Here is a 14,714-nt window from a genome sequence, read left to right as displayed (position 1 = left end):
TGGCTGAGGTGGGAGAGTCACTTGAGCTTGAGAGGCAGAGGTTGCAGTGAGCTGAAATCATGCTATTGCACTCCAGCCTAGGTGACACAGTGAGACTCCATTTCAAAAAAAATAAAATAAAATAAGAATTAAATTACCCATTTAATATTTGTTAGTAACTTCATTTCAGTAGGATGTGGCACAGTGTCATGTGAACATCTGCTTTTACTTCAGCCAGTTTTCTATTTAAAAAGTAGGCTTTCTTCTAAAACATCTCATGTACCCTATATATATATATAAACCTACTATGTACCCACAAAAGTTAAAAATTAAAAAATTAAAAAGTAGGTTTCTTCTACCAGTTTCTGTGGATCACTCAAAGCATAAAGCAGTAGGAAAAGTAACAGAGAAACCTGAGGCCTTTGACTAGCGCCCAAAAGGATTTTATTTTCCCAGTGAGAAAGGGCATTGAACACGCTTTATCTTCAGGTACTAAGTGTGTTTTGTTTGGATAAGGATTGAGATAAACATAATGATAGATAAAAATGTTGTAATGTTAAATAAAAATGTGAGTTATTTAAGCTTCCATCAATAAAATCTTAGATTTTTTATACTATAATCAATCTGTCTGCCAGAAGAAAGAAACACATTTGCAATTTGATTATAATTATTCTACAGGAACTTGCGTGAGTTCAGACATCTATTTTATTATTTTCATTTACTTTTTAGTATAAAAGTTTATGAGACAATCAAACAATTTATGGGGATTAACACTTAATTCATAAGAAATGTCTCAAATTTTAAGGTTAAAAAATTTCAAAACAGCAAATTATTATTAATAATACACATAACGTTATGAAATAAATATTGTTACACTGTCAGATTTAACAAAGTATGGTTAGCCAGAATTACTAGAAGTGTTTTGTTATCAAACAACAATTTACACAGAGCAAAATGCCCACCTTTTAAAGGTACAATATATATACCTGTGTAAGTCTAAGTAATTTTAGGATAGAGTGTATTTCCATTATGTCTTTCCACTCAGTCACTATTCTATACCCCAGTTTCAGGCAACTAATGATCTGCTTTCTATCACTAAAAAATAGATTTCATGTCCCTACACATTATAGGTATACAGCTATATAGAATCTATTCTTCTGTGGCTAGGTTCTTCTCCTCAGCATATTTTTGAGATTTTTCTATATTTTTTTGTGTGCATCAATAAAATTAGGGAGTTTTATATAGACAGATAGATAATTATTTATATATCACAATTTTTCTTTATCAATTCACTTCTTAATCGACACAGGTGACTTTCAACTTGGGCTTATTATAAATAAAACTGCTATAAACATCCATCTATAAATTATTGTGTGGGGATATATTTTCATTTCTTTGGAGTAAGTATCAAGATGTGGAATTGCTGGTTCATAAGGTAAGCATATATTCAACATTGTAAGAATTGCCAAACTAATTTCTAAAGTTGTGGTACCATTTTATACTCCAATTAACGATGAGAGCTCCAATAGCTTCAACTCTTTGTCAACACTTTCTATTGTCAATCTTTCATGCTTAGTTATTTTAGGGGGATGGTATTTGTATTTGTTTTAAAGTACAGCTGTAACTAATTAACACAGACTTAATGGCTTAAAACAACAAAAATGTATTATCTTATGATTCTATGAATCAGAAATCTGAATTTTTTTTTTTTTTTTTTTTTTTTTTTTTTTTTTTTTTTTTTTTTACTAGGCTAAGATAAAGATGCTGGCAGAGCTTTGATCCTTTCTGGTTTTGCATTTCTCTGATGTTCATTAATATTGTTATGTCTTTGTTGGTCACTCATATATCTTCTTTATTCAGGTGTCTGTATAAATCATTTGTCTATTTTCTGTTATGGGATTTGTCTTCTTATTTTGTCTTATGAGTGTTCTTTTTTTTTAATTTTTTTTATTCGTTTATTTTTGAGATGGAGTCTCGCTCTGTCACCCAGTCTGGAGTCCAGTGGCATGATATCGGCTCTCTGCAAGCCCCACCTCCCGGGTTCACACCATTCTCCTGCCTCAGCATCCTGAGTAGCTGGGACTACAGGCTTCCGCCACCACACCCAGCTAATTTTTTTGTATTTTTAGTAGAGACAGGGTTTCACCGTGTTAGCCAGGATGGTCTTGACCTCCTGACCTCATGATCCACCTGCCTCGGCCTCCCAAAGTGCTGGGATTACAGGTGTGAGCCACCGTGCCCGGCCGTGAGGGTGAGGGTTCTTTATACATTCTATATACAATTCTTCCAGATGATATGTGTATTGCAAAAATGTTTTTGATCTGTGGCTTTTTTTGTTAGCAGATACTTTCAAAGAGTAGATGTTCTTTATTTTGATGACTTCCAATTGCACTAATTAATTATGGTTGAAAATCTTGTGGTCTAGATAAAGAAAATTGTATTGTGTATTTTAGTACTTCTACATATTCATATAAATGTCAGAACCAGGTTGTCAATTTCGTTTGGAGAAAAAGCTTATAACACTTTTATTTGGGATTACATTGAATCTAAGTACAGTGTAAAAAATAAATAAATAAACATATTAATAATATTGAGTTTTCTAGTCCAAGAACAGCATATATCTCTAAGTTATTTAGGTATTTTAAAAAATTTTCTTCGATAGTTTATATACATCTTGATTATCCTTTGTTACACTTATTGCTAAGTATTCAATCCTAAGTATTGGTACTATTATAAGAGGTATTGCTCCTTTAATTTAATTTTCTAATAGTTGGTTGCTAGTATAAATAAACACAATTGACATCAGTGTATGGATTTTTATCCTCCAACATTTCTAAATTTATTAATCCAAGTAGATTTTTTTGTAAATTTATTAAAATTTCTATACACAGGATCACATTGTCTCCCAAGTTAAGTGTTACTTCTTTTTTCTTAAATTTGCATGTCTTTTAGTTATTTTCGTAACTTGTTGCACTAGCTAAGAATCTCAAGAGAGGTGGCCAAGATGACTGACTAGAAGCAGCTAGTGTGTGTGGCTCTCAAAGACAGGAACAGAAAGGGTGAATAAATAGAGTACCTTCAACTGAAACATCTGGGTACTCACACTGGGACTAATCAAGGAAACAACTCAACCCACAGAGAACTGAGGAAAGCAAGGCAGAACAATGGCCCACCTAGGGGTAACACAAAGCCAAGAGAACCTCCCAAGCCCTCTCCTCCCTCAGGGAAGCCATGAGTAAATGTGTGACCCCGGGAACCCATGCTGCTCCCATGGATCTTTACAACCTTCGGGTCAGGAAATGCCCTTGTAAAGTCATTCCACCATGGCCTTCAGTCTAACACAGAACTACATGGAGTCTCAGCAGAGCAGCTTCTCCAGCCACACATGGGGACCAGGGAGCCTTAGATACCCAGGCTTTCTGGGCTTCTCTGCAAAAGTAGCTGCAACTCTGGCAAAGCAGGTAGTTAGACCCCCAAATATACTCCTAGGAAAGGGATTGAATCTAGTCGACTAAGCAGTGACAGTCTGCAGGCCCCACTTCCATGCCACCTTACAGGATAACATTCACTGGCTTGGATTTCCAGCCTGCCACCAGTAGCAGTGTGGCACCTCCCTGAGACGGAGCTCCTATCCTAAGTGTAGGGGTGGGTTTCCTCCTTTGCTGTTTGGGCAACTTAGCCATTTAGGCCTTCAGGTTTTGGAAAGTCTGAGGTGACCGAGGGTGGGGGTGGTCCCCCAGCACAGTATAGCTGCACTGTGAAAATATGGCCAGACTATTTTTTAAAGCAGGTCCCCAGTTCCATTCCTCCTCACTGGGCAGGACCTCCTAACTGGGGTCTCCAGCCATCCCCACCAGTGCTTTCTGGCTGACAGAGATTTAAAACTTCCCTGAGATGGAGCTCCCAGATAGAAAGGCAAGCCACCATCTTTGCTGTTTTGGTGACTTTGCTATTCCGGCCTTCAGAATTTGGAGAGTCTAAGGCAACCAAGGGCTAATGTGGACCTCCAACACAGCACAGATGAGTTAGAAAATTATGGCCAAACCATTTTTTTAAGCAGGTGCCTGATCCCATTTCTCATCACTGGGTGGAGTATCCCAACTGGGGTCCCCAGCTACCCCTGCTGGTTTTCTTCAGCTGACAGAGGTTTCAAAGCTCCCTGAGATAGAGTTCCCAGAGGGAGGAGTGGACCACCATCTTTACTGTTTGGTGACTTAGCTGTTCCAGGCTTCAGGCTTTGGACTGTCTGAGGTGAACTGGATTCCCAGAACAGTACAACTACTGTATGAAAATATGGCCAGCCTGCTTTTTTAAGCAAGACCCTGATCCTATTTTTTGTCTGAGTGAGATTTCCCAACTGGGGTCTCCAGTCACCACTTACAGGTGTGTTAGGGCCAGCAACAGATCTGTACTGCCTGGGATGGAGCTCCCAGAGCGGGTTGCCATTTTTGCTGTTCCACAGCCTTTACTGATGATACCTCCAGGTGCTGGAAAATCCAAAGTGACTAGAGACTGGAACGGGTCCCCAGCATGTAGCAGCAGGCCTACCAAAAAACTGGTCAGACAGTTATGCAGGTGCTCATTCTCATATCTCCTCAACAAACAGGTCCTCCAGGCCTGTGCCTCCAGCCAACCATAGCTATCAAGCCAGTAGCAATACTCTAGACAGAGCATCTAGGTGCAACTGAGAGCCTCTCTGTCACTGCCTCTGCAGTGGAACTGCCCTTGCTACCTTAAGACTAATGAAGGGGAAAAGAACTTAAGTGCCTTATCCATACCTCCAACAAACTGCAGTTGATCCAAGGAAAGGAGGTCAGTCTGTCTCTTACATGTCTTACCTACCCTAGGGGAAACCCTGTCTTGGGCCCACAGGACAGACCCTCTCTCCTGGGCTGATTGCACTGAGAGTTTGCTAACCTGCATCTCTCTGGGTTGGATTCCCCAGGAGACAAGCAAACACCCTTGGCCACAACCTCTGATACAATCCCTTCCTCTACTGCCTCCAAGCTGGGGAAGGGACATAAACAATGAGATCACAGCATAACTGCAGTAGGTAGCCTAGGAGCCCCAAGCTGCCATCTACAGACAGCACTTAAAAGGGAGAGGAACTCACAATTTCAGATCATTGAGAAGCATCATGGCTGTAACTGTAAGGAAACATAGGGGAGCTACAAAACAGAGAAAGTCTACCAACTCACCAATGAGCCTAAGTGCCACCTACTGGATTATAGCCCAAAGTCTCAACACCAAATATACCTCACTACCATACCCCACTCTAAAACCAGAGACAAGAAGCTAGCTTCCAATAAAGGCCCTGCACAAAGCCTCAGCCCAGTGAAAACATCCAGCAAAGAAGTCTATTGACTATACTCAATCCACACTGCAGATAAAGGAATACCCACATGCAGAGATGAGAAAGAACCAAAGCAAGAACTCTAGTAACTCAAATGACCAGAGTGTCATATGTCCTCCAAATGACTGCACTAGTCCTCCAACAAGAGTTCCTAACCAGGCTGAAATGATAGAAATAGAATTCAGAATATGGATATGAACAAAGATCATCAAGATTCAGGAGAACAGCAAAGCCCAATCCAAGGAGACTAAGAACCACAATAAAGCAATATAGAAAATGAGGGAACAAATAGCTGGTATAAAAAAATAATCTAAAGAGTCTCAAAGAGCTGAATAACACAATACAAGAATTTCACAATGCAATCATAAGTATTAACAGAAGAATAAATCAAGCTGAGGAAAGAATCTCAGAACTTGAAGACTGGTTTTCTCAAATAAGACAGACAAAAATTTTAAAAAAAGGAATGAACAAAACTTCAGAGAAGTATGGGATTAGGTAAAGAGATCAAATCTATGAACCACTGGCATCCCTGAAAGGGAGAGGGGAGAAGACCAAAACCTGGAAAGCATATTTTAGGATATTGTCCATGAAAACTTCCTCAACCTTGCTAGAGAGGCCAATAGTCAAATTTACAGGATACAGAGAACTCCTGCAAGAATCTACACAACAATATAATCCCAAAGAAACATTATCATCAGATTTTCCAAGACCAAAATGAAAGAGAGAATGTAAAAGGCAGCTAGAGAGAAAAGGCACAGGTCACCTACAAAGGGAACCCCATCAAGCTAAGAGTGAACCTCTCTGCTGAAACCCAACAAGCTAGAAGGGATTGTTAGCCTATATTCAACATTCTTAAAGAATTTTATGTCTGGCCAAATTAAGCTTATCAAGCAAAGGAGAATTAAGATCCTTTTCATATAAGCAGATGTTAAGGGAGTTTATTACTACCAGACCTGCCTTACAAGAGATCTTGAAAAGAGCTCTAAATATAGAAAGGAAAGACCACTGTCAGTTAACACAAAACCACACTTAAACACACAGGCCAGTGTCACTATAAAGAAGAAACACAAGCCAACATAATAACTAGCTAACAACACAATGAAATAATCAAATCCACACATATCAATACTCACCTTGAATGTAAACAGGCTAAATCCCCAACTTAAAAGGCACAGAGTGGAAAGTTGACACCCATCTCATATGTAATGGCACACATAGGCTCAAAATAAAGGGATGAAGGAAAATCTACCAAGAAAATGGAAAACAGAAAATCCAGGGGTTGCAATCTTAATTTCAGACAAAACAGACTTCAATCCAGCAAAGATCAAAAGAGACAAAGAAAGACATTACATAATGATAAAGGGTTCAATTCAATAAGAAGACCTAGATGTTCTAAATATGTATGCATTCAACACAGGAGCACCCAAATTTATAAATTTTTAAAGCAGGTTCTTAGAGATCTACGAACAGACATAGGCTCTTACACAGTAATAATGGGAGACTTCAACACTCCATTGACAGTTTTAGACAGATTATCGAGGCAAAATATTAACAAAGATATTCAGGACCTGAACTCCATATTGGACCAAGTGGATCTGATAGACCTCTACAGAACTCTCCAGCTCAAAACAACAGGATATACATTCTTCTTATTGCCACATGACATATATTCTAAAACTGACCACATAATTAGACATAAAACAATCCTCAGCAAAGGCAAAAGAACTGAAATATACCAAACACACTCACAAACCAAAAATAGAAATCAAGACTAAGAAAATCACTCAAAACTGTGCAATTACATGGAAATTAAACAACATGCTCCTAAATGACTTTGGGGTAAATAATGAAATTAAGGCAGAAATCAAAAAGTTCTTTGAAACTAATGAGAACAAAGAGATAGCATACCAGAATCTCTGGGACATAGATAAGGCAGTGTTAAAAGGAAAATTAATGGCACTAAATGCCCACATCAAAAAGTTAGAAAGATCTCAAATTATCAACTCAACGTCAAAACTGAAAGAATTAGAGAAGCAAAAACAAATCAACACTAAATCTAGCAGAAGAGAAGAAACCACCAAAATCAGAGTTTAACTGAAGGACATCAAGACATGAAAACCATTGAAATTAACATTGAATCCAAGAGTTTTTTTTTTTTTTTAAGTAATAAGATAGGCCACTAGCTACAATAATAAAGAAGAAAAAAGAGAAGATCTAAATAAAGACAACCAAAAATAATAAAGGGAATATTATCACTGACCCCCCAGAGTTAAAAATAATTATCAGAAACAATTACAAACACCTCTATGTGCACAAACTGGGAAAGCTAGAAGAGATGGACAAATTCCTGGACACATACATTCTCCCAAGACTGAACCAGGAAGAAACTGATTTCCTGAAGAGAACAATAATGAGCTCTGAAATTGAATCAGTAATAAATAGCCTACCTATCAAGAAAAAGCCCAGAATCTGATGAATTAATGACCAAATTCTACTAGATGTACAAAGAAGCATTCCCCTTGAAAACCAGAAATAGACGAGGATGCCTTCTCTCATCACTCCTATTCAACATGGTAGTGGAAGTCCTAGCCAGAGCAATTAGGCAAGAGAGAAAGAAATAATGGGCATCCAAATAGGAAGAGAGGAAGTCAAACTATCTCTATTTTCAGACAATGTGATTCTTTATCTAGAAAACCCCATGGTCTCAGCCCCAAAGCTCCTTCAGTTGACGAAGAACTTCAGCAAAATTTCAGGATACAAAATCAATGTACAAAAATCACTAGCATTCCTACACACTAACAAAGTCCAAACCAAGAGCCAAATCAGAAAGGCAATCCCATTCACAATTGACACAAAAGAATAACATACTTACGAATACAGAGAACTAGGGAGGTGAAAGATCTCTACAATGAGAATTCTAAACATAGTTCAAAGAAATCAGAGATGACAAAAACAAATGGAAAACATCCTATGCTCATGGATAGAAAGAATCAATACCATTAAAATGGCCATACTGCCCAAAGCAATATACAGATTTGATGCTATTTCTATCAAACTACCTATAACAATATTCATTGAAATAGAAAAAAAACTTTTTGAAAATTCACATGGAATGAATAAAGAGTACAAATAGTCAAGGTAATCCTAAGCAAAAAGATCAAAGCTGGAGACATCACATTACCTGGCTTCAAAATATACTACAGGGCAACAGTAACCAAAACAGCATGACACTGGTATAAAAACAGGCACATAAACCAAAGGAATAGAATAGAGAACACAGAAATAGGGCCAAACACCTACAACTATCTATTCTTCAACAAAGCTGACAGAAACAAGCAATGGGGAAAAGACTCGCTGTTCAACAAATGGTGCTGGGATAACTGGCTAGCCATTTGCAGAAGACTGAAGCTGGACCCCTTCTTACACCCTATACAAAAATCGATTCGAGACGGATTAAAGAGTGAAATGTAAAACCCCAAACTAGAAAAACTTTGGAAGACAACCTACACAATACAATTCTGCACATAGAAATGGGCAAAAATTTCATGACAAAGACAACAGAAGCAATTGCAATAAAAGCAAAATTGACAAGTGGAATCTAATTAAAATTAGGAGCTTCTCCACAGAAAAAGAAACTATCAACAAAGTAAACAGACAACTTAGAGAATGGGAGAAAATTTTTACAAACTATGCACCCAACAAAGGTCTATATGGCATCTGTAAGGAACTTAAATTTATAAGAGAAAAATAGACAATCCCATTAAGAAGTGAACAAAGGACATGAACAGACTTTTCAAAAGAAGAAATATGTGCAGTAAACAAACATATGATAAAAGTCTCAATATTACTGATCATTAGAGAAATGCAAATCAAAACCACAATGAGATGCCATCTCACACTAGTCAGAATGGCTATAATGAAAAAGTCAAAAAATAACAGATGCTGGTGAGGTTGTAGAGAAAGGGGAATACTAATACACTATCAGTGGGAGTCTAAATTAGTTCAACTACTGTGGAAAGCAGTATGGTGATTCCTCAAAGAACTAAAAGCAGAACTACCACCAGACAGAGCAATTCCATTATTGGGTATGTACTCAGAGGAATGTAAATCATTCTATAATAAAGACACATGTACACAGATGCTCATTGCAGGACTGTTCACAATAGCAAAGACTTGGAGTCAACCTAAATGCCCATCAATGACAGACTGCATAGAGAAAATATGGTACATATACACTATGGGATACTATGCAGCCATAAAAAGAACAAGTTCATGTAGGAACTTGGAGGGAACATGGAGGGAGCTAGACGGTATTATCCTTAGCAAACCAATGCAGGAACAGAAAACCAAATACCACATGTTCTCACTTACAAGTGGGAGGCAAATGATGAGAACTTACGAACACAATGAAAGAAACAACACACACTGGGGTGTTCTTGAGGGTGGAGCATGGGAGGAGGGAGAGGAGCAGAAAAGATAACTACTGGGTACTGGGCTTAATACCTGAAATAATCTGCACAGCAAACCCCCTTGACACTAGCTTACCTATGTAACAAACATCCACATGTACCCTGAAAGCTAAAATAAAAGTTAAAATAAAAAATATCTGGTACAATGTTGAATAGAAATAGCAAGAGTGGACAACTTTTGTCCTTTTTCTGATCTTAGGTACAATATTAGCTATAGGTTTTTAGTTTACAGTTTATATCAAGTTGTGAAAGTTCTTTTCTTTTTCTAGTACACTGATTTTTAAACTCATGAATATATGAATTTTATTAGGTGCTGAATTTTATTAAATGACTTTAGAGTCTATTGAAAAGATAATAAAGGTTTTGTTCTTTATTCTTTTAATATCATAAAATGCATTGGTTTATTGTTAGATGTTAATATTAGTCTTGTATTTCTAAGTAAAAAATTTTGATAATGATTACACTTTTAGGTATCATTTGAATCAATATGTTAATGTTTTGTTAAAGATGTTCACATCAATGATCAGGCAAGATATTATATAATGAATTTTAAAACTATAATCAATTTCATTCTGGTTTAGTTTAGTACAGGGTAATAATGGTCTCATAAAATGATTATGGTATCCCTCTTCCTTTCTTAAAAAGCTTCACATTGACATTATTATTTCATCTTAAAAGTTTAAGAAAAATCTACCAGTATTGCTATCTCAAGATGGCATTTTGATTGTGAAAAGGTTTTATACTGTGAATTAAATTTATTTAGTCAAGGTAGTTCTTCTCAAATTATCTATTCTTGAGTCACTTTTGACATTTGTGGCTGTTTGTTTTATATTACTGTTTTAACCAAGTGCCATAAATTTAGTGGCACCAAGCAATACATTTTAATCTCACAGTTCAGTATGTCCCAAGTTCTGGTTCAGCATGGTTCAGTTGGGTCCATTTGCTTAATATCCCACAAGGCCAAAATTAAGGTTTTCTTTTTGGAGTCTCTGAGGATGAATATACTTCAAGTTCAATCAGTTGTGGGCCAAATTCAGCTCCTTGCCATTGTAAAGTTCAATTCCCTGTTTCCTTGCTGTCAGTTGACTGTTGACTGACAGCATAGCTCTTAGAGGTTGTTACATTCCTTCTCATGCTTTTCACATGGCATCCCTCTACCATCAACAACAATGGAAGGCTGAGTCCCTCTCATGCTTCCAATCTCTCAGAGCTCCTCTTGTGCCATCTTTCCCTAACCCCAGAATGAGAATATACTCTGCTTTTAAGGGCTCGCGTGGTTAGATTGAAGCACAATGATCTGGACACTCTCCCTTATGATGTATGTGTACTATTACTACTTACATCTGCAAAGTCCAGTTAGCAACATAAAATATTTACAGATTTCAGAGATTAGGGCATAGATAAATTTGGAAAACCATTCTGCCTACCACAACAGCTTTCAAATAATGTGTTCATTTTATCTAAGTTGTGTTATTTCATATAAAATTGTACATAATTTGACCTTATGAATGTTTTAATTCATGTAGGGTCAGTGCTGATGTCTCCTGTTTAATTTTCAAAGGTAAGTTTGTGAGTTTGTGTTTATTTTTCTTAAATATCAGTCTAGCCAGGGAGTTACTCAATTATTTTGATCTTAAACAAATTGTTTGATTTTATTGATTTTCTCTATTATCTATTTTCAATGTCATTGACGTCTGCTCTTATATAGAGTATTTCACTCTTTTGACATTTTTCATTGTTTCTACATACATTCTTTCTACATTAGATTTGCATTATTCTCTTAAAGTGATGGCTTAGAGAATTTGATTTGGTTAATAATATTGTTAAAGCTTCCACATTCATGTTAATTTTCTATTTATTCTAGGAGTTATTAAGATAGGTGATTTTAAATTTCCAACTGTAATTGTGGATTTGTCTATTTCTTGTTTTCATTCTGTTACTTTTTACTTTATGTATTTTGATATTCTGTTAAAGATTTTGTAGACATTTCAAATATTATATAGTTTTGGTAGATTTTCCTCTTCGTGTTATGAAATGTGTTCTTTATCCTTGTAATATTCCTGAAATCTACTTTTCTGATATTAAAATAATCACTTCAATTACCTTATGCTTAGCTGTATGTTTTAATGTATGTTTTTATACTGATATGGTTTGGCTGTGTCCCCACCAAAATCTCATCTTGAATTCCCACGTGTTGTGGGAGGGACCTAGTGGGAGGTAATTTCATCATGCTGTTCTCGTGATAGTGAATAAGTCTCATGAGATCTGATGGTTTTAAAAACAGGAGTCTCTCTGCATAAGCTCTCTCTGTTTGCCTGCTGCCATCCATGTAAGACATGACTTGCTCCTCCTTGCCTTCCACCGTAATCATGAGGCCTCCCCAGCCACAGGGAACTGTTAGTCCATTAAACTACTTTTTCTTCCCAGTCTCAGGTAAGTCAAGCAGTGTGAAAATGGACTGATACATATACATAGCTAAAACTTTTAATTTTTTTTACCTTTCTTTTTTTTTTTTTTTTTGAAATAGGGTCTCATTCTGTCACCCAGGCTGGAGTGCAGTAGCATGATCTCGGCTCACAGCAATCTCTGCTTCCCAGGCTCAAGTTATCCTTACACCTCTGCCTCCCAAGTAGCTGGGGCTACAGGTGCGCACTACCACACCTGGCTAATTTTTGTATTTTTTGTATAGACAGGGTTTTGCCATGTTGCCCAGGCTGGTCTCAAATTTCTGGGATCATAGAGTCTGACCACTTCAGCTTCCCAAAGTACTGGAATTACAGGCATGAATCACCATGCCTGGTAAATTTTTTTTTTCACTTTTAACCTCTCTATATATTTATATTTAAAGTTAGTTTCTAATATAATTGATTACAGTAGCTCTTTTTATTGGATAACTTTATATTGTACTGTGTCACATACATAAATCATGTTTATCCTTTAAAATCAAGTACTTTGACATATTTTTGAACACCCAAAGATATGTTATCAACTTAAAAAAAAAGATTCTCAGGAGTTCTTCAGTAATGATCAAAAACACAATTGTGAGCTAATTAATATGGTCAGATTTTTTCAAAATATTAACTGCATTATGAAAAAGTAGTGGGTGATATTGTGGGTGAGAATTAGAGAATTTTTTTTGTTAGTTTCTTTTATTTTTTAATATCTTTACTTAGAAATTAGTTGTGTGCATTTGTTTATGTTCTTGTTTGATGTTTGCATTCCAATTACAGTGCATACATCAAAGAACTGGATATATTCTCTTTTATTCATTCGTTTATACCCAGTGTTGGCCATAGTACTTTGAACATAGTATGTGGTCAATGAATAATTGTTTCATAAATGAAAAACTAATGTTAATCTTGCTTTTGCTAATTTTTTAGGTAATAACACTTATCATGGAATGGTTTTAAGTAGGTAAGTATTATAACAAAAGTTAAAGGATGGATTTTACAGAGGGAAAAACAATATTTTATTTATCAAAAATTGTCTCATATGCCCTCTGGATTGTGATATGGTTTACTTCAACAAATGAGAGAAAAGATATGTAATGAAATCTAAAATATTTAGGAAATGTTATTCTATGGAAAACATAGAATAATAATATAGTTTGGAAAATATATAGTTTGGAAAAATAATATATAGTTTGGAAAAATATATAGTTTGGAAAAATAATATAGTTTGGAAAACTATATTATTTAAGTACAGTGATATTATAGAAGCTACTTTTTCAGGAAGAAGTGTGGTTTCAACAATTCATATAAATTTAGGTAGAGTATTTTGGAGAACATAAGCACTATTAATGTAGTTATAAAACTGAGAATTGAAAATGTGAGTAGGATATTCAGTAGAGAAAAAATATATTAAGGATATTCCTATTAGCAGAAACTAAACTATGGAAAACCAACTATATTAGTGACTCAGATGACTATGAGGAAAGTTGATTTGTCCTAAGGAAAATTTAAGGTTTACTAAATATGTAATTTGTTGATTCCATTAAATAGAAGAGGTGACTCTGAGGAGCAATCAAAAAGAACAAAAGAGGTTTTGTGAAATTGGAACATTGTTTCTGAAATAAAAGAAAATCAAGGGCTGAATAAATGAAATATCCAGGCCTAAACAAATTTATGTTCAAAATGATAAAAACCAAGAAACAACAAAAAAGAAAATTATGTAAAAGTTTTAAAATGTAGAATATAGGTCATAAAATCTCTCCATGGTAATTTCACAAAAAAAATGGAAATAAGACAATCAAATAAATAAGATGATATTTAGTGCTTCAAATCTAAAGCCTTTTGGTTGTTGTACTGTTGGACCTTTTCTTATTAATGTGTGGAATTTTTCCATGTGATACTATTTTTCAGTTACTTGTATTTCAGATATCTTTTTTCAGTAATTACATCCCGTATTTGTTGGTGTAACTGTGTTTTTAAATAAAAACACAGCAAATGAGCAAAATTATAAGTAGATTTTTATAAATTAAAATTTATTAATATATATCTTTATAAAAATGCACACATATTGTATTTGTTCAAAATATATTCTCTAATATTTTGCTGTCAAAAAAGTCAATTTTACATATATTTTTGGAGGATATATTTGTCAATGTAAAACTCTAGGTTGACAGCCTCAAAAATTGCCAGTAATTGTCTTCTGGTATCCATTGTTTTTCATAAAAAAAAATTTGTAATTCTTACTGTTTCTTGGTATAGTTTTTAAGATTTTCTCTTTATTGTTAATTTTCAGCAAATACCATTTGACTATGACTGCCAAGCTTTGTTTTTCTTTTATTAATCCTCCTTGGTATTCTCTGATTTTTTTCTGTATATATAGGACTTTTATTTATCTTAAAAACTTCTCAACTTTGAATATTTTATTGTCATTCTTTTTCTATTTTCTTTTTGGACTCCATTATG

Source organism: Homo sapiens, chromosome 4 (assembly GCF_000001405.40).
Source record: "Homo sapiens chromosome 4, GRCh38.p14 Primary Assembly".
NCBI classification, from domain to species: domain Eukaryota; kingdom Metazoa; phylum Chordata; class Mammalia; order Primates; family Hominidae; genus Homo; species Homo sapiens.
Note: the sequence above shows the minus strand (reverse complement) of the source record.